Raw genomic sequence first — 20,940 nt, 5'->3', positions numbered from 1 at the left:
TGTTGGGGGGAGGGGACAATGGGAGATGAGGATAAAGAGGTGTAGAGGATCAAGATCATGAAGAGCCTTAAATGCCATGCTCAGAGGTGTGGACTATGATGTGAATATGACGACAGGCCATTTCGGTAGGGAAGTGTCAAGATGAGACTTGTATTTTAGAAAGATCTCCCTGTTTGCAGGGTGGAGAATGGCTTGAAGTAGATTAAAACAAGGAGGAGGGAGACCATTGAGGACATCACTAATCAAGCACAGACACAGATATCAGGGGCATAAAAGATAGCACATAATAACTGATCGATTTTGAGGTCCAAGAGAAGAAAGTCTAGGGAAACTCCCAGGATTCTGCATCCAGGTGAATAGGGTGCCAATAACAAAGACACGGGGAGGTGGAGAAGACCACTGCCAGTTACAAACAGACCTTTGGAGCTTTAGAGAGAAGTCAGTATTAACAGTATTGATTTAGAATCATTAGCATAAGATGCTAGTTGAAGTCTTAGAAAGATGAGCAGAGGCCTCAGGATAGAAACTTGGAAAAGTAGCAACACCTGTAAGTGGAGAGAGAGTAGAATCTACCTTGGACACTGAGAGGTGATCAGAGAGGTGGGAGAAAAATGAAGAGAGAGTGACACCTCCTAAAATCAGATCTTGTCATGTCTGTGCTCTGTAGGCTCCTTACGTCCTACAGAATTAAACTTTGAGTCATTAACATGCTTACATGGGGCACATTGCAAGCTGCTGACCCAGAATTCATTTTTTTTTTTTACATCTTTCTTCCTAACAGAATTCTGATTCCCTCATGTATCTACCCGCTTCTCAGGTACTCAAGGGAGGCTAGCCTCACCCCCGCTGTACGGATAGGTCCTAATTAGTCTCAGCCAATCAGAACATGACAGTCCTTGGTGGCTGTCACTGATTCAGGGACCTGACATGACATCACCTAAAATGGTTCTATCAGACCCAAACCAAGAATTCCATTCTGGGCTGGAGGTGAACCAGGAAGACTATAGTCCCAGTTTCTATTAGCAGCCTCAGGATGAAGCCAGTTCTGTGGATGGCTGAGAAGACAGGCAGAGAGAGTCAAGATTTTTGATGATGGTAATTGTTTTACAGAAATTTACTTCTCATAGTTCCAGAGGCTGGAAAGTCCATGATCAAGACATCAGCAGATTCAGTGTCTGGTGAGGGCCTCTTCCTCATAGATGGTGTCTTTTTGCTGCAGCCTCACATGGTGGGAGAGGAAACGCAGCTCCCTTCAACCTCTTTTATAAAGGCACTCATCCCATTTGTGAGGGGAGAGCCTGCATAACTTAATTACCTTCCAACAGGCCCACCTCTTACTACTATTACATTGGGTATTAGGTTTTAACATGTGAATTTTAAGGGGAACACCAACATTCAGATAACAGCAGTAACAGATTGTATCATCATCATCATCATCATCATCATCATCACCACTATTTTACAGTTCTTTGATCCTGCCCCACCTTTGCCACACTGACCCACACTGCTGACTTTGGCATGGGCCAGGTGACATGCTTGTGCCAATGACTGTAAACAGATGTTCCATTTGCCCATCCTGAGCAGAAGATTTAAGTGTGATTGTGTGGTATGGCTGGCCTCTTGCTTCTTTGACAATAGCATGCTCTGTTGTCAACTCCTGCAGCCCAGGCCCCAAAATGAGAAGAAATAAATGTTGAATTAACCTCAGACTCACTGAGCCTGGTTAAGCCTAGCTGAGTCCAGCAGAGCCCAGTCAAGCCCAGTTGAAAAATTTCATGAACAAGAAATAAACATATGCTACTGTAAGCAACTGAAATTTCAAAATTGTTCTGTTTATTATACAGAATAAGCTACTGAGAGTTACTAAAACAAGCTGAGCAGCTGAATTCATCCACTCAGGATACTCAGTGTGCACTTTCAGACATCAAGGAATATGTCCTTATCATTTACATTATTGTGAGCTACGGTTTTCTGTTACTTATAGCCAAAATCACCTGCTTCTCAAATCAAGTGGTAGGGACTGACTTTTCCCAGTCTCATCTCACTAAACACTTTGGGCCTTCGTTAGCATTATTTCCTCTCCTTGGAGACCCTCTGCTTCACCTCAAAAACTTTCATTCATCCTTTGCAACTGTATTAGTCCATTCTCACGCTGCTACAAAGAAATACCTGAAACTGGGTAATTTATAAAGGAAAGAGGTTTAATTGACTCACAGTTCTGCGTTGCTCAGGAGGCCTTAGGAAATTTACAATCATGGTAGAAGGCAAAGAAGAAGCAGGCACCTTCTTCACAGTGTGGCAGGATGGAGTGAGTGCAAACAGGGGAAATGCCAGGCACTTCTAAAACCATCAGATCTCGTGAGAACTCACTCCCTATCATGAGAACAGCATGGGGGAGACTGCCCCCATGATCCGATTACCTCCACCTGGTCCTGCCTATGACACTTGGGGATTATGGGGATTACAATTCAGGATGAGATTTTGGGTGGGGACACAGCCAAACCATGTCAACATCCAAGGTCAATGCTTTCTTCTACGTGAAATCTTCTTTAAATCTCCATGGAAAAATTAGTTATTTTCTTAGCACTTCAATCTTCCTTTTATTATAGCCATTACCACATTGTATTGTACCTGTTTACAAACCTGTCTTGCCCACTAGGCTGTGGGCGTGGCTTGGTCTTACACATTTTTGTATTTGTTGTGTCTAGCACATGCCTGGTATGTAGTAGGTGTTCAGGAAAATTTTGCTAAATGGGTAATTTTTAAACATGCATTCCTATAAGGCATTACTGGGAGGAGATCAGGTATTTGTTCTATGCATCTTCCCTAAGTTGCAGGTCACTCACTAATAGAGTGAGACACACCGGGTAGTGTGGTAGAGAAGCATCAGTTCTCCAGATTGACTGCAAAAAGGGGAAAGTATTGAGAATCCAAGACTGTCTTTATTAGTCTGACCAAAGCATTCCAAACAGGTCAGCAGACTCTGGGATTTGGCAGCAATTTTGTGCATTCAGAGATGGAAAGAATTTACCAGACCCCTGAGAATCATTTTTGCACAGACAATGAGACTTTTAGGTCATTTTGTCTGATACATTTCTTATCAGCAATGGCCTGAAGAAGTGTATGTCAATGCACTCCATTGCAATCTGATTTTGTCATTCAGCAATACAGTTTAAACTAGTATGTATTCACCCCTGCCGTGTTCCAGATGCTGTGGCAGACATTTCAAATAAAAATCTCTCATAATGCCAGAAACTCATTTTACAGATAAGAAAACTGAGGCTAAAAGAGGTAAAATAACAAGCTGGAGTTTTATGTTGCAAAACTTGACACACTTGAGATTCAACCTTAGATTCTCTGACTCCAAGTTCAATTTTTTGTTTGTTTTTCTGATTTATGAACTAGAGACAACATCTGCCTTGATCACCTTCCAGGGTTGCAGCAAGGATTACATGAAATTGTATAAATAAAGTTCTTCCTTAGATAGTATTAATATCAATGACGCTTAGCTAAAGTTTGTTTTAAATACCTTTTCCCAAAAGATTGAGAAAAACAGAAGTTTATGATACCATAGGATGCTCGTGGAGAAATATATTTTGTGGGGAGTGTGGGGCTGCCCAACCACTTCTCACATTCCATCATGGAAGGTGTAACCTGCCAAGAGATAGGCCATATAGTACCCAGCGTCCTTGCCGCTAAAAGTCTATTGGAAATAATAGCTATCATTTAGTAAATATCCATGGATCTTCTGCTTTTCCCGTGTTATTTTTAATCCTGCAAGAGAATAGGCTTTGCTATTTTTCTTTTTCTTTTTTTCTTTGAGGCGGAGTTTCAATCTTGTCACCCAGGCTGGAGTGCAATGGTGAGATCTTGGCTCACTGCAACCTCCACCTCCTGGGTTCAAGTGATTCTCCTGCCTCAGCCTCCTAAATAGCTGGGATTACAGGTGCCAGCTGCCATGCCCCGCTAATTTTTGTATTTTTAGTAGAGACGAGGTTTCACCATGTTGGTCAGGCTGATCTCCAACTCCTGGCTTCAGGTGATCTGCCCGCTTGGTCTCCCAAAGTGCTGGGATTACGGGCTATTTTCTTTGTACCAGAGAAGAAGTGAGGTTCAGAGAGGTTAAGTAACTTGCCCACGGTAACACAGGTGGTGAGAGGCAGAGCTGGCTCTTGAACTGAGGTGAATATGATTCTAAAGAGCATGATCACTCTATCTGGTCATTATTGTTTATTCTAATAGTTTACGGATGTGGTTCTGGATAATTCCTTTCCCCGATACTTTATCATGTCTCAGGAACTTTAAAAACTTTGGTAACCTTCCTTAGGTGAAAACTCTGTGGTTTTCCAAACATTCTACTTGCATTTTAAAAGAGGCTCAGCTAGTGTGGATAAGGAGCTAAATTTCATTTTGTGTGTATTGGCTGTTTGAACATAAGTTGAACAAGAGCATTTAATGATGTGGAAATTAAATTGATGTCAAGTCATTGCATCTTATTCTACTCTGCCTTGGTCAAATAAAACTCAGTAAGTCAGACATTTAAAACACGAAAAAGGCAGGGGGACCTTGGTGAAGTAGCTGAGGACATAGGCCAGAGTTGGCAAACTGTGACCTGCAGGCTAAATCTGCCAGCTGCCTGTTCTTATGTGGTGCTCAAGAGCTAAGAATGGTTTCTACATTTTTAAATGATTGGATAAAATTATAAAAATATGTTTCATTCTTGTTATGTACACATATGATAATATCTTTGATTTTGCTTTTTGGCCCATAAAACCTAACATATTCGCTTTGTCCTCTTACAGTAAGAGGCAGCCCAATACACAAAAGGCCCCTGGGTAGCCTCAGAATCTCCTCTGACCTGGGGGTGGGATCTATGTGGATCCAATGTGTATGCCTGGCTCCTGGCTCTTTTGGGGTACATGCTGAATCCCCATGTCTCTGGAAATAGATCTGTGGCTACCCATCCCCGTCCCTCCTCCAGGCATAACAAGACCTGCAAGAGAACAGCTTAGGCTCAACCGAGGGCCCCTGCTGCACACAGCTCTGCCTTTGCACTTGCTGTGTAGTTAACAGTAATACTTTGCTGACTGCTGACATAGGACTTTACCTTCCCAGGGTGAAGAAGGGAAGGCTCAGTGTCTCCTCCATTTCTGGAGCATTTTCTTGACTTCCCGTTTCTCTTCAATGTAACAGACATTGTGGGTGGGGCTTTGTGCAGACACTGTGCTGAGCGCAGTGGGGAAATGAAGTGGATAAGGCCAGTTGCTCTCTGGGCTCTTGGACTCTGTGAAATTGCTGTTTCAGAGGAAGAGGGCTTTGTTCTGGGAGTAAAGGAAAATATTTCAGGGAAGCTACTCAGCAGTGAGCAGCGTAGACTCATCTGTGAGTACCTGGTTTCCAATCCCAGGCCCACGGTGAGCCTTTGCCTGATCTGGGCTCCATTATTGCACAAATATGAGGAAGAATGCTTTGTTTTTGTTGGGGAAAGAAAGACTTCCTCTTTTCAACAGTGCAGATAAATTAATGGCAGAAAGTTCGAGCAAAGCTGTCCTTTCTACATCAAGAATGAAAGGGCTTCTGTTTGAACAGGCTTCAAGCAAGAATCAGAGCTAACTGGATGCTTGGCTCCACAGCTGGGCTTTTCAGTTTTTTGCTCTATTAAAGCTTCCCAGCTAACTCTTCTTGACAGCCTATCTTCTTCTAAAGGCCCAGATGTTTGACTTTGGAGGTTGTGATGTGCGTTCCTTCAGATCTGTGCTTCCAGCGGGAGCCAGCCAGCAGGAGCCTAATCATGATCCCGGCCACAAGAGCAATGCCTCACGTCCTTCAGCAATGGACAGAGAGAGCTTGTGCTTTGTGGTATGGCTATCCACTCACCCTACAGGCTGTCTGCACCACGGTCCTAATTAAAGACATAAAGTTGGATTTCTTCAGGGCAGTTTTGGAATAGCAAGTACATCCAGGCCCTTGCCCTGCACTTCTTTGCCAGTTAATAGTTTCCATGTTCTCTTCCTGCATAGCCCCATTCCTATCTCAGGACATCCTTTCTCCTGCTCCCTTCCTGCCCACATCCACCTCTGGGTGTCCCTCCTCTGTCACTGCAATAGACTCCTGACCTTTAGCCTCACCCGTAAAACACCCTCGGCAAGGCAGGGAGATGAGGCGCAGGGTTTCCTTTGCTTTTCCTTTACTCCCCAGATGGAATTTACATGACAACAGATTTGCTCTTAGGAATATACTTTTAACACACCTCAGAGTAAATAGCTGCAATTTGGGTGTTGCAGGCTGCTCCAACCTGAGGGCACAAAAACAAAGTCACAGTAACAGCAGGGATTTTGCTTTTTTTGTAGCTCTGATTCCCTCCCACCAGGTCCCCTGAGAGTTCTCTCCCAGTCTCTGGGAAGCTCAGATGGTGGCTTCTGTGTGGTTAGAACCTCGGCTCTGTCGCCATGCCACCTGCCCTTTTCCTGGTCTCCTGCTCTGGTCTGGGCTCTGGATTCCTGAGACGATGTCCTTAGCCCAGGCCTCTGAGGCTAAGTTGCCTCACCACCAAGCCATAGCTGGGCCAGCCCCAGATCACTGAGCACTGCCATGGCTGTGCTGCAGAAGCCTTGTCATGCTCCTCAGTGGAGTGGGGAGACCCCTCCTCCACTTTTGGGTCACCTGCCATTGCTTCTGTCTCAGTGTAGGACTGCCTTGTGTTGTAGCTCAGTGAGATTTATTGTGGAAGTGGCTCTTTTGTTTCTTAAAGCGCCCTCTCTGTAAGGCTCAGGTGGCAGGTGCGGGGGGCCGAGGTGGCAGCCCAACACAGAAAAGGCTCCTGGGTAGCCTCAGACTCTCCTCTGACCTGGGAATGGGCTCTGTGTGGATCCAACGTGTGCCTAGCTCCTGGCTCTCTTGCTGTACAAGCCACGAAATAGACTCGTGGCTCCTCCTCACCGCAATCCATCCTTTAGGCCTAACCAGCTATGAGAAGAGAACAGCTTAGGCTTAACCTAGGGCCTCTGGTACACACAGTTCTGGCTTTTTACTTGCTGTGAGCAACAGACTGCCAGACCCTCCCCCATAGGACTGACATAGGACTTTATCTTTCCAGGGTGAAGAAGGGAAGGCTCAGCCTCTCCTCCATTTCTGGAGCATGTTCTTGTCTTCCCCTTTCTGTTCGATGTAACAGACATTCTGAGCAGGGCCTTGTGCAGACACTGCACAAAGCTGGAGGTTCCTAAACCTCCTCCATAGGTTCTTTAGGATTTATAGGAGGCAAGCACAAATATTATCTCATTTAAGTTTCACACAGATTCTTTTAACTTAGTATCATTTTAATGTCCATTTCACAGATGAGGAAATAGAGGCCTAGAGAAACTAAGTAATTTTCCCCAATATTATATAGCAGAGCTGAGATTTCAATGCTTCTTTTTAGATCTCAAAAACCCAAGTCTTTGGGTCACATACACAGTAAGTTAGGAAAAACAAATACAACTTAGATATTTGTTATAGCCCTTATTTGGTTGCACTAAAACTGTATATACAATTTTGTTTGCTTTCTTTCTATTTCTTTCTCAGTCTCAAGACTGTAAGCAAGGGCTGGGTTTTATTAATTTTTAAATCCTCAGAGATAGACAGAATGCCTGGCGCATAGTAGGTGCTCAGTAAGCACTTGTTGATTGTTACCAAGGATCGTTTGTGAACCAGATGCATTCTGAATTTAATTATGAGTGAGAAAACAATCCAGGAGGTTTGGGCATCCAGGTAGAAGCTGTCAGAGGAAAGGGAGGGAAGCCTAGGGAGGGAGGAGAGGAGCAGGCCGGAGGGCTGGGGTACCCCATGGTGCGCTTTGATATTCAATAATCCACACTTTGATTTCCAGGCATGAGGCTCAATTGCTGCCTTTGTGTACAGATTGATCATGGAGAGGGGAGGTTTTTTCAAGTGGATTTTCTAATGAAATCTGTACAGTAGGGACAGAAGTTAAGTCTATAGTTCCGGCTCTTTTTCCTGGACAAATTTCAGAGGAGATTTGTGCAGGAGTCAGGGGTCGCTAAAGCAGAAACATGCCTGTGATTGCTCACGCCAGCCTGCGGAAGCTGGCAGGATATGTGCTGGCAAGCGCTGGGGGCCGGGGTCAGGGGTTTCTTTCCTTTGATTTGCTTCCAGAACTTGTCAAGGTAGTCTGTGGGAATGAGCCTAGTGACAGCAGGCCTGCGGAGGTGGGGTAGGGAGGAAAAACCCACTCATTTTCCTGCTAGAAAAGCATTTGCGACTTTTGGAAATGTGGCAGAACTGTCAGGAGGACATGACAAGCCTAGCTACATGAGTTGAAAAAATTAAGCGATTGCTTCTACCATTCTGTGACTAACAAAACTGTCGATTGTCCTCAACATAGATGATGAAAAGAAAAAAAATTATGAGCACCATCTCACAAGGGACACGTGCTGCATATTCAAGTAATTTGGGTTGCCTCTTCCTTACTGCTCCCCCTCTTTGCGCCCCCTCATCATTTTAGCTATGCCATGCCAATAACTGCAAGGATTTAAAGTGAGAGATTATTGCCTTCTTATTGTTGAAGAACAGTTTCTTGTCTGTACATTTATGACTGCTCAAGTATAGTATGTGGATATGAAACCACCTTTGCAAAAATTACAGTGAAAGAGATCTGGCCTAATTGACTCCATCTTGCTTCTAACCTGCAACCTGCCCTTGTTCATTCCTGGGCATAGCCCAAACTGACGTTGGGAGGAACTTAATTTATAGTTTAACATTGAAACAAAGATGACAACAGCCCTTTACCAAAACAAACCCCCTTTTGCCCAGGGACCAGACTGCCTTTGTAAGACTAACAAATTAGCCACAAGATTAGAAATCACGGTGTAGGAGACACACAGCTAGAGGCCACAAGATTCTAAACTTCCCCAATTGCTCCTAGGGAAAACATCACTATTGTAAAACCTGGTTGGTGGTTGAGATATTTTTCAGACTCTGCCTTCTGATGCACCAGCTGGCACCACCCAGACTGGTAACCGGGCCCAACCAGTCTTGTGGTCACACCTAGGAACTGAATACAGCAAGAGGAACCTTTGATGCCCTATGATTTCATCCCGGACCCCACCAATCAGTATTCCCCACTCCTTGGCCCCTTACTACCAAATTATCCTTAAAAATCCCCAGTCTCTGAATTCTCGGGGAGACTGATTTGAATAATAAAACTCTGGTTCCCATTCAGCTGGCTCTGCGTGAATTAAACTCTTTCTCTATTGCAATTCCTCTGTCTTGATAAATCGGCTCTATGTGGGCAGCAGATAAGGAAAACCTGTTGGGTGGTTACAAATCCATAAAATGGAGGCTAATCAGAACTTCAGTCCTTCAAATGTGATCACTATTAGGTTAATGTATCATTGTGCATAACCAAGGAAAATCTAACTGGGGAGCTTGATTTATTCAGTATTGTTTCCTACACTGATGAACTACAGAGGACAATGGCAGAAACTCCTGAAGGAGATTCCTGTCATACATGTATTATTAATTAGTCAAGTGATTTTGTACAATAACTATATCACATTGAACATTTGCTTCTTTGTGTTGAAAATGAGAGTGTGGGGGAATGTCTTAGTTCAGGCTGCTATAATAAAATGCCTGCTCATGTGGCTTAAACAATACACATTTATTTCTCACAGTTCTAGAGGCTTGGAAGTCCAATATCAAGGTGCCAGCTGATTTGTTTCCCAATGAGGGCCCTCTCCCTGGCTAGCAGATAGTGTGTCTTTGCATGGCAGAGAGAGAATAAGAGCCTTCTAATGTCCCTGCTTATAAGGGCACTAATTGCATTGTTAGGGCTGCACCTTCATGACCTCATCTGAACCTAATTACCTCTCAAAGGCCTGACTCCCTAACACCATCATATTGGGGGCTAAGGCTTCCTCATAGGAATTTTGGGGAGATTCATACAATTCAGTCCAGGGCAGAGAAACACATAGACTGGAAATGTGAAAGGTGGATGAACATTTGACTTTTTTTCCTAAGTCATGCTCATCTCCGGAATGAAGAGACTTTATTAATTTGCATCTAGAAACTGAGTTTATGAGCCTACTCATGAATTGGTCCTATTAAAGATAATGATGATGCAAATAAGTATTTGTTATCTCAGAAAATGAAAATGACAAGCCTCAGTCCAGAGAATTTTAAGTTGTGGGTACATTCTTTCACAAAGCAACTGTCTGCGGGATGTGTCTGGATTTTAGATTGGACTGTGATAAAATGCACAGTCATACATGTGGCCACTTCTAAGAATGGGAGCGGCTAAGGTTTCAGAACATTCCAGGGTTAGGTACTGTGTCTTCAAAGTACTGTGCATGGCAACTGGCATTCTCAAACACCTCTGGGGCCAGTGAAAATTGGTACAATCCTTGTGGAAGGCAATTTGGCATGACATATAGAGCGCCAGCAAAGTACTCATACTCTCTGACTCACACCCACTTCTGGGAGTTTATCCCAAGAAAATAATCTGAAAGAAGGAGAGAGTTATTCATGAAGGTGTCATGGGAGTATTGTTTTCTAGTGGTGAAAAATTGGAATTGTATAAACCAGAAGTTGGCAAGCTTTTTCTGCAAAGGCAAGATGGTAAATATTTTAGGCTTTTTGAATTATGCAGCATCTTTCTCTAATACTCAGGTTTTCTACTATATTGTGCAAGAAGCCATAGATAATATGTAAATGAATAAGCATGGCTGTAATTCAATAAAACTCTATTTTAAAAAGCTTAAGTTAGAATTTCATATAATTTCCACATCATGGAATATTATTCTTTTGATGTCCTTTATAACCATTTAAAAACGTCAAAGCTGTTTTTAGCCTGGAAGCCATATGAAAAAAGGTGATGGGCCAGATTTGCCTCATGAATTGTAGTTTGCTGACCCTTGGTCTAAACAATAGAATAGTTTATTAAATTATTATAAAACCATATAATAGAATGTTATATACTAGTAAAATGATAAGAGAACCATGTAATAACTTGAACTATGCTTATAATATATAAAAAGTATAGGGCATGAAATGGTAAATACATCCTAGAATATAAGCAATGAAAGCAGTTGTGGTTAGAATAAAAAAGAAGTGAGTTTTTCTTTTTATCACATTTTCTGTAAGATTTTTATTTGTCTTTATTTTCTTCTTCTGGAGCTTTGATAAGATATTTGTCAGATATTCTCATTCTATTGTCCAAGTTTCTTAACTGCTAGCTCACTTTTCCCAACTTTTTCTCTCTCTGTTCTGCATTCTAGGTAATTCCTTCACGTATATATTTTCAATTCACTACTAGTTATCTATTTTAAATTCACTAATAGTTCTCTATTCACTAACCAAATAGATAATTATTGCATTTAAAATAATTGAGATGAAACTCATATAATATAGCATTAACCATTTTAGGGTGGTATTCATGTCATTTTAGGGTGGTATTTGGTAATTCTCCATAAACCACCTTAGTTAGATAAAGGCCACCACCTTTATTTAGTTCTAAAACATTAAAAATGTTCAGTCCCAAAGGAGGCCCTATTACCATTAAGCACTCGCTCCCCATTTCCCTCTCTCCCCATTCCCTGGCAATCACTTACATGCATTATGTCTTTACAGATTTACCTATTATGGGAATTTCATATAAATGGAATCATACAATATGTAACCTTTTGTGTCTGGCTTCTTTCACTAGCATCATGCTATTGAGGTTCATCATCTCTGTGGTAGTGTGTGTCAGTATTTCGTTTCTTCTTTTGGCTGTGCAGTACTCCATTGTATGTATATACCTCACTGTGTTTATCCATTCATCCACTGATGGCCTATCCATTGAATTTTTTTCTTTGCTTAAAATGAAAAATATTTGTTATCTTACACAGTTTCTAGGCTCAAGTGCCCATGAGTACCTTACCTGGGTGATCTTGCCTCAGGGCCTCTCAAGGTTACAGTGAAGTTGTTGGTTAAGGTTGAAGTCATGAATGGGCTGGAGAATGTCCTTCCAAGTTCAGTCACATGGCTGTTGGCAGGGGGCTTCAGTTCCTTGTCACGGGCCTCTCCAGGTGGCTGCTCATGGCCAGGCAGCTGGCTTCTCCCATTGTAACTGATGAGAGAGAGACCAAGATGGAAATGGCAGTAACTGTACAACCTAATCTGGGAAGGGATGTTCTATTACTTCTGTCATATTCTATTAATTAGAAGCAACACACTAATTTCTGCTTATGCTGAAGAGGAGGGGAATTAAACTTGAAGGAAGAAATATCGAATAATTTGTAGACATGTTTTTAAAACCACCACAGATATGGAAGGAAAAGTAACATTTATCTAAGCAGACATTAGATAAGGAAAAATGATGACAGGCAAGGAAGTAGCAGAAGCAAATGGATAGAGATACCAGATTATATGCCTTGCAATCTATGGCTTGAGAATTGAGGAGGCTATTGTTATTACCATTTTAAAGAAGACGAAACTGAGGCTTAGAGAGAGAAAGTAACTTTTCCAACATATACAATTGGTAGATGTTGGATCCAGGTCTTGAACCCATATTTCTGATTACAGGGCCCATAATCTTATCAATACCAGTATTGGGGTCTTCCAGAGAAAGGAAACCAACAAGATGTGCATATATTAGTAGAGAGATTTATTTTAAGGATTGGCTCACAAGATTTTGGAGGCTTCATAAGTCCTAAATCTGCAGCGTAGGCTGGCAGGCTGGAGACCCATGAAAGAACAGCAGTTCAAGTCCAGAGACTGTCTGCTGGCAGAATTCCTTTTTGCTCAGAGGAGATCAGTCTTTGTGCTATTAAAGCCTTCAGCTGATTGGATGAGACCCACCCACATTATGGATGATCCGCTTGACTCAGAGCCCACCATTATTGGACCAACTCAAAACTGACCAAATATCTGGGCACTTGTGGCCCAGCTGTAAAATAGTCATCTCAATACTCTGTACAGCAATGAAAACTAGGGTTCAGATTGCAAAGGGTCTTGAATGTCATGTTAAGCTGTTTGTTGTATTTGTGAAAATTAACCAATGGCTTTTTCTGAGAGACATGACATCAATCGTCTGATATGATGGGCAGGCAGGCGTTCCTATATAATATCATAATTCCCTTGGGAATGTATCATAGAATATTGTCTATTGTGCCTTCTCTTCAATCCTGTTTTCCTGTTTTGACAAATGACAAATCTTGTTTTTACTAACATTATGTATTTTTTCCTTTCAATACTTCTCCTTTCCAGTCCACATATTTTTAGTAACTAGCCTTTCTGAAACAATTCTCATATTTCAAAATGATGACATTCTATTTTATTTATTTATTTAATTTTTGCGAAGGAGTCTCACTCTGTCACCCAGGCTGGAGTGCAGTGGCGTGATCTCGGCTCACTGCAATCTCCACCTCCTTGGTTCAAGCCACTCTCCTGCATCAGCCTCTGAGTAGCTGGGATTACAGGCACATGCCACCACGCCTGGCTAATTTCTTTGTATTTTCAGTAGAGACAGGGTTTCAAAATCTTGCCCAGGCTGGTCTCGCACTCCTGACCTCAAGTGATCTGCCTGCCTTGGCCTCCCAGAGTGCTGGGATTACAGGTGTGAGCCACAGCCCCCAGCTGACTTTCATTTCAATAATATTTTTCTCTATGATGCATTTTCTCCTATTTGGATCTTTTTCTCTTAGTCTTTTCTCTCTTCAATGCTTATTTCAAGTCTTCCTTTTAGCCATACCTCCCACTAGAATGAAATTCATTAAATTTTAACTTCAATTATTTTAATTTCTGGAAGTTTTATTTGTAGCTGTTGCTTTTACATCTGCCTCTCAATTTTGATATTTTCTTGTTTCCTTATCATTCCTATATTTAATATATATAAGTACTGAAGGCCTGCTATGAACCAATGATCTTCCAGTCACTATGACGTCATAACAATATACAAAACATATACAACAATACACACACACACACACACACACACACACAACTCCCTGCCCTCAAGCAGTGTACTTTTTCCATAAAAACCAAGACATTTATGTTATATCTTGTTAACAGTGGTTAAATTATCTGGAGTCTTTGAGGCTGCAAGGTCTACATTGCAGGCTGTTAATTTTGTTGACTTTTGTTCTTGATGACTTTTTCTTGCATGTTTTTCTTTTTCTTTTTAACTTTTTCTTGTGAGCTCATGCATCTTGGAACTTTTTCTGTGGAAATTCTCTGAGGCTTGTGCTTACAGTGCATTTACCTAAGGAGAATTTACTTTTGTGGTAGCTTTAGCAACCAGGGATTGGCAGATGCCCTCAGAGCAAACCCCAGCTTTGGTGTTTACTGCTTAGAACTGTATTTTCTTACTGTTTGTGACTCCTGGTAGAAACTCTCACATTATTGTCAACAAAGGCATACTTTTTTTTTTTTTTTTCTGAGACTGAGTCTTGCACTGTCGCCGAGGTTGGAGTGCAGTGGCACCATCTTGGCTCACTGCAACTTCTGCTTCTCGGGCTCAAGTGATCCTCCCACCTCAGCCTCCGAAGTAGCTGGGACCACAGGTGTGCACCCGCATGCCTGGCTAACTTTTTGTATTTTTTGTAGATATGTGGAATTACCATGTTGCCCAGGCTGGTCTTGAACTCCTGGACTCAAGTGATCTGCCCAGCTTGGCCTCCCAAAGTGCTGAGATTATAGATGTGAGCAACTGTGCCCAGCCCCATATTTTTAAATAAAGATCCTTTCAAATAATTTTCTAGAACTTTAGGTATTTTGTTTTGGGAGGGAGTATTTCTGTATGTCTATTCTGCAATAGCTCTGGAAGACAGAAGTGCATATTGTTTTTATATTTTTAAATAAAATCATTAGGGGGAACATTCTTTAACCTCACATGTAGGAGCAGAGGTACTTTGGATTTATGGCTGAGGAGTCACTTTTCCACATTGAGCTCTGGTCTTGGGGCCCTGGAGAGGCCAGGCTAAGGCTCTGGGAGGACAGATTGTCCTGGTTCTTTTGGGCTGTGGAGAGGCTGCCAGCCAGAGGAGAAGAAACAGATATGTTCAGACAATTAGAGAACTTGGTCAACACCGAAGAAGAAGCAAATTGTTTTTTATCTTCTTGTACTGTTACACTGTTACACATCCAAAGGTTTTTTATGGAATTGTTTTATTCTGAAAGTGGTAGCTTGATATAACAATAAAGACACCAACATCCCCACTTAACATGATTGAAAAAGCCTTTATATTCATTATCGCATTTAATTTTCATAGCAATCCAACAAATAAACAATCCAACAAATCCAATAAAAGGGTCCGGAGAGATTAAAAGCTTGCTCAAGATACATAGCTTGGAAGCAGCAGGTCATAGACTCACCTCTCATGGATCCAAACTACTCTATGGATCATCTCTCTGGATTAGTTGAAGTTTATGACAAATAAAGTGGGTTCTAAGTTAATGCTTTTCCAACTCAATCCCATGGCCAACCACACTTCCTGGTGGCCCTTTCCAGCTCTCTCCCAATTCTCTGCATCTTCTGCATTTAACTGTTCATCAAATGATTTTTTATTGAGCACCAGTGACCAAACGATGCATATGACCCAGTTTCTGTTTCATATGTACGACTATATAAAAAGTTTATGTTTATGTAAATGAATATTACACCAAGAGTTAAACTTAACAATAGGACTGTGCATTAGCCATAGGATGGTGCAAGTTGTATGTTCAGGGAACACCTACGAAAGATGAAGAGATTCATGAGTGGAAGGGCATTTCAAGCAAAGGGAACAGCATGAGAAAAGGCATGGAAATATGAAATAGGCCTGTCCATTTGGCGAACTGACAGTATTTTGGCATGGCTGGAGCAGAGGTATATGTAAGTAGTCTTGGGCCAAGAGGGAGGAGAAATGTGTGTGGTTAGAATATGAAGGCTTTGCATTCTCTGCTGATAAGCTTGGACTTGATACCATAAGATTAGTGTTTTCTTTGATTTTTGGACCATGGATCAATGATATATTGCCACAATAATGTCCTATAACAACCCATCCAACCTCAGCAGCATATAACAGTAAGCATTTATTGCTGACATGTTTAGGATTGTTGGCCAGGTGTCTTCTGTTGATACTGATTGGGTTCATTCCCATGTCTGGGTGTTGTCTGGATGTCAGCTAATCTAGGATGGCCTCAGCTGAGATGACTGGGTGACTCAGTGTTTTCCATCTTTCACCAAGCTTACCCAAACATGATGCAAGAGCACAGAAGGGCGCAAGCCCAATCACTCAAGTGTGGTTTAATGTTTCTGCTTGTGCCACATTTGTTAATATACTGTTGGTCAGAGCTAGTGCCAAGGTCAGTCCTTTTTCAAAGATGTTAGTGGGAGGAACTATAAATTCATATGGCCAATGCTGTGGTTCTAAGGAGGGCAAAGGACTGGGGCCTTTGATACACTCAATTCATTCTACACCATCTGCCTTAGGACCATCAGGTGTGACTGACGGTAACATACATGTTGTATAATATACATATGTACATATAACATATATGTCAATAACATACATGCCTGAACCCAATAATGTTTTGCTGAATCATAATGAGAGGGGTCTTGCTGGGCACCTGCATTTTTTTGCCAACTTGCTGAGTGATTCTTTTTATTTTTATTTTTTGAGATGGAGTCTCACTCTGTCACTCAGGCTGGAGTGCAATGGCGTGATCTTGGCTCACTGCCACCTCCACCTCCCAGGTTCAAGCAATTCTACCTCAGCCTCCTGAGTAACTGGGATTACAGGAGCCCACCACCATGCCTGGCTAATTTTTGTATTTTTAGTAGAGATGGGTTTCACCATGTTGGCCATGCTGGTCTCGAACTCCTGACCTCAGGTGATCTGCCCGCCTTGGCCTCCCAGATTGCTGGGATTACAGGAGTAAGCCACTGCGTCAGGCCGAGTGATTTTTTTTGTTTGTTTTTGTTTGAGACAGAGTCTCACTGTGTTTCCCAGGCTGGAGTGCAGTGGTGCAATCTCAGCTCACTGCAAGCTCTGCTTCCTGGGTTCATGCCATTCTCCTGCCTCAGCCTCCGGAGTAGCTGGGACTACAGGCGCCCGCCACCATGCCTGGCTAATTTTTTGTATTTTTAGTAGAGACGGGGTTTCACCGTGTTAGCCAGGACTGTCTCAGTCTCCTGACCTTGTGAGCTGCCCGCCTCGGCCTCCCAAAGTGCTGGGATTACAGGCAGGAGCCACCGTGCCTGGCCCGAGTGATTTTTGTATATAGCAAAGGGTGAGAATTGCTACAGTAGGCTTTTAAACACAGGAGAGACATGATTTGATTTGCTTTTAGAAAAGTCATTCTATGAATGTGAAGTGTTCTCATCACAAAAATGATAACTTTATGAGGTAGTATATAGCTATATTTAGCTAGATGTCGTCATTCCACAATGTATATATCTTTCAAAACATCATGCTGTACATGGTAAATACACACCATTTTATCTGTTAATTGAAAATGTCACTCTAGCTCCAGTGTAAATAATATATTGAGTGAAGTTGGGGTGGCAAGGTAGAAGGCAAAAAGGCCAGTTAGGAGGCCATGGCCATAGCTCTGGCAGTTGTGGGGCGCTGACTGAGAGTCAGGCAGGCCTGGGTGTGAATTCTGGTTTGGCTACCTGCAAGCTCTGTGGCCTCGGTAAGTTATGCACACTCTTGAAGCTTAGGTTCCTCATCTCTACAATGGGAGTAACAATAACCACCATAACCCACTTGGCACCCGGGGCTTCCACCAGTAAGGGGTGAGATGATGAGAAAAGGGAGCAGGGGAGCAAACTTAAATGCTAACCTCTGCCTGAAGAGGCAGCCCCAGGCTCTTGAACTGCTGATAGAGCACCAAGCACAAGAGGTGCTGAACACAGACCATTTTACAATAGCTTATAATTAAAAATATATCTCAGACTCTTTCTTTAAAAAAAAAAAAAAAAGAAGAGAATGAAAGGCAGATCACTTTAGGTTAGGCTTGGAGTTCCCAGCCGAACACCTAATCAAGCCCAGGTCATCTGGTCATCTACCTAGTGCGTTCTCTTCTTGTACCACCAATTTCCTGGTTACAGGGCTTCTTAGATGCTGTAGGTGGGGTCTAGGATGGTGAGAGGAGGGCTTGAGAGGAGAACTACTTGATCTAGGCTTTGCATTTATGTAACTGACAAACAGTATTGAATTTAGACTTTTGACAGTCATTCCAAATGAGGTTATATGGGCAGGCATACTGAAAGGATCAATAGAAGGAGGCATCCCTCATGCAACTTTAAATATACCACTTTGTTTTGGGAATTATTCATTTTTAAAATATCCTGAGATCTTAAAAATATGAGAACATCTGAGGCCTCCTTTGGTTTCTAACAGGGCCTGGGTCTGGGTGCTCCTGCTTCAGGAGCTCTTAGGTGCCAGTCATCTGTTAATAGACAAGACCAAGGCAGCTAATGGGGCCTGACCACCTGAAGACAACTCTGTGCCTAATTCCAGGCTGTAAATGAAATTGCCCACCATACTTCCTTGGCCAAGACCTTGAACTAAAACACAAATTACCCAGGAGGATCAGAGGAAAGTCCTAGGGATGTGTGGAGGAAGGATTTCTCCTTAGAGTCACAGGGCTGTGCTGGGAGAAGGTTTATGGAAGTAACCAGGCGGGCACTGCTGACCACAGAGGCGGTGGCGGCTGGAGGAGGGAGAGGGTCTCCAGCCTGTTGCTCTGCCATCTGTTGCGAACAGTGCACTTCTTGTGACCCAAGCCCTGGAAGTGTTGCAAGCAGGCAGGCTGATTAATTATTTCCCTGGGGTCTTTCCAACAGAGGATAGAAATTGATGCTCAGTGGGCGTGAAAGAGAGGCCAAACCTTTCAACTAGTAGGGAATTTGTTTCCTGGTCTAACTGCAGCCACATGTGAAGGTATTGAAAACATATGTGCCTCTGATAAAAGATCACATTTAAAGAAAAGACTAGAAAGGCACCAGTGCAACAGCATCCTGTTTCTCATCAAACACCAAGCCCTGAATTTTCAAATGCTTTGTGTTACCGGAGGATGTTTAGAAGCGTTCAAACAGGGCTGGCCTCGCTTTCCATGAGCATCTTTGATACGTTTCTGTTACCTGCTGTTCCTACCTAGTGAAATAAGTTATTTTTCACTGTGGTCCCCAAGCCTGGTGACCTCTCAAGCCCACTGAATCAGAATCCACAGGAGTGGCCAGCGGAAACTTAACTTATTTTAATAAGTTCTTCTGGCTGATTCTTGGGCAGCTGTCCTTGAACCTGTCTGTGAACTGAGGTGGACAGTTACAGGTTTACAGTCAATACACACGAGTAAGGCACTGTGCAGCTGAGTTGCTAGTAGGAGAGAGAGAGAGAGAGAGAGAATTTCACATGAGTTTTCTATCTGCGTATAAGGAAAGGGGTGGGGAAGTCAACAGAAGATGGCAGGGATGAGTAAGACGGAAAGACATTAGTAAGGCCACAGGGTCATTGTAGGAGCAATAAAACACACTGAGTGGAGTAAGGCTTTGGAATAATAAACTACCGGTAATGCCAATCTCTGCTAATGGGATCATCATCCATTTAGTCTCCCAAGCCTTAGAGATACCTGCAACTCTTTTGCTTCTCTTCTCTCTTTCCATTCCAAGTGATCATTAGATCTTGTTCATGGATTATATCAGTCACATCTGAATGCTTAGCCAGCAGTCTTTCTTCCTCTATCTTTTTTTTAAAAAATTTATTTCCATAGGTTTATTTCCATAGGAACGGGTTTATTTCCATAGGTTTATTTCTATAGGTTTATTTCCATAGGAACGGGTGGTATTTGGTTACATGAGTAAGTTCCTTAGTGGTGATTTGTCAGGTTTTGGTGCACCCGTCACCCGAGCAGAATACACTGCACCCTATTTGTAGTCTTTTATCCCTCAACCACTTCCCACCCTTTCCCCTTGAGTCCCCAAAATCTATTGTGTCATTCTTATGCCTTTGCATCCCCATAGCTTAGCTCACTTATGAGTTAGAACATACAATGTTTGGTTTTCCATTCCTGAGTTACTTCACTTAGAATAATAGTCTCCAATCCCATCCAGGTCACTGTGAATGCCATTAATTAATTCCTTTTTATGGCTGAGTAGTATTCCATCATATATATCATATATGATATATATGATATATATGATATGATATATATATGATATATATGATTGATATGATATATATGATATGATATATATATGATATATATTATATATATGATATGATATATATATGATATATATGATATATATGATATGATATATATGATATATATGATATATATGATATGATATATATATGATATATATGATATATATGATATGATATATATATGATATATATGATATATATGATATGATATATATGATATATATGATATATATGATATATGATATATATGATATATATCATATGATATATGATATATATGATATATATGATATATATCATATGATATATATGATATATATGATATATATGATATATATGATATATATGATATATATATGATTGATATATATATATATCACAGTTTCTTTATCCACTCATTGATTGATGAGCATTTGTGTTGGTTCCACATTTTTGCAATTATGAATTGTGCTGCTATAAACGTGTGCGCAAGTATCTTTTTCATATAATGACTTCTTTTCCCCTGCGTTAGCTTGGGAGTTAGAAAGCAATGAACTCAGCTGGACTCCTGCGGTAGAGGCTTCATTGGTCTTTTGGTCAACAGGCTCTCCTTTCTTTTATCCTCTACCATGACTTGGGAGTGACTATCCTTAAAAATTTTTAAATAAACGTACTTGTCTGTTTAGAAAAAAATTTGTTTCCTTTTTTTTTTTTTTTTTTTTGAGGCAGGAGAGCAGTGGTACCATAAATCACTGTGGTCTAGAAATCCTGGCCTCAAGTGATCCTT

At 41.7% G+C, this 20,940-nt stretch overlaps 1 annotated feature.

The window, feature by feature from the left end:
- Window positions 5,036-5,330: an enhancer, noted in NCBI's record as "tiled region #11925; K562 Activating DNase matched - State 3:PromF". NCBI's record gives its function as "activates a minimal TATA promoter and a strong SV40 promoter by Sharpr-MPRA in K562 cells {active_cell/tissue: K562}" and the evidence as "EXISTENCE:reporter gene assay evidence [ECO:0000049][PMID:27701403]".

This window comes from Homo sapiens, chromosome 8 (assembly GCF_000001405.40).
Source record: "Homo sapiens chromosome 8, GRCh38.p14 Primary Assembly".
In the NCBI taxonomy this organism is placed as follows: domain Eukaryota; kingdom Metazoa; phylum Chordata; class Mammalia; order Primates; family Hominidae; genus Homo; species Homo sapiens.
Note: the sequence above shows the minus strand (reverse complement) of the source record. Positions and strands in the feature narration are given on the sequence as shown.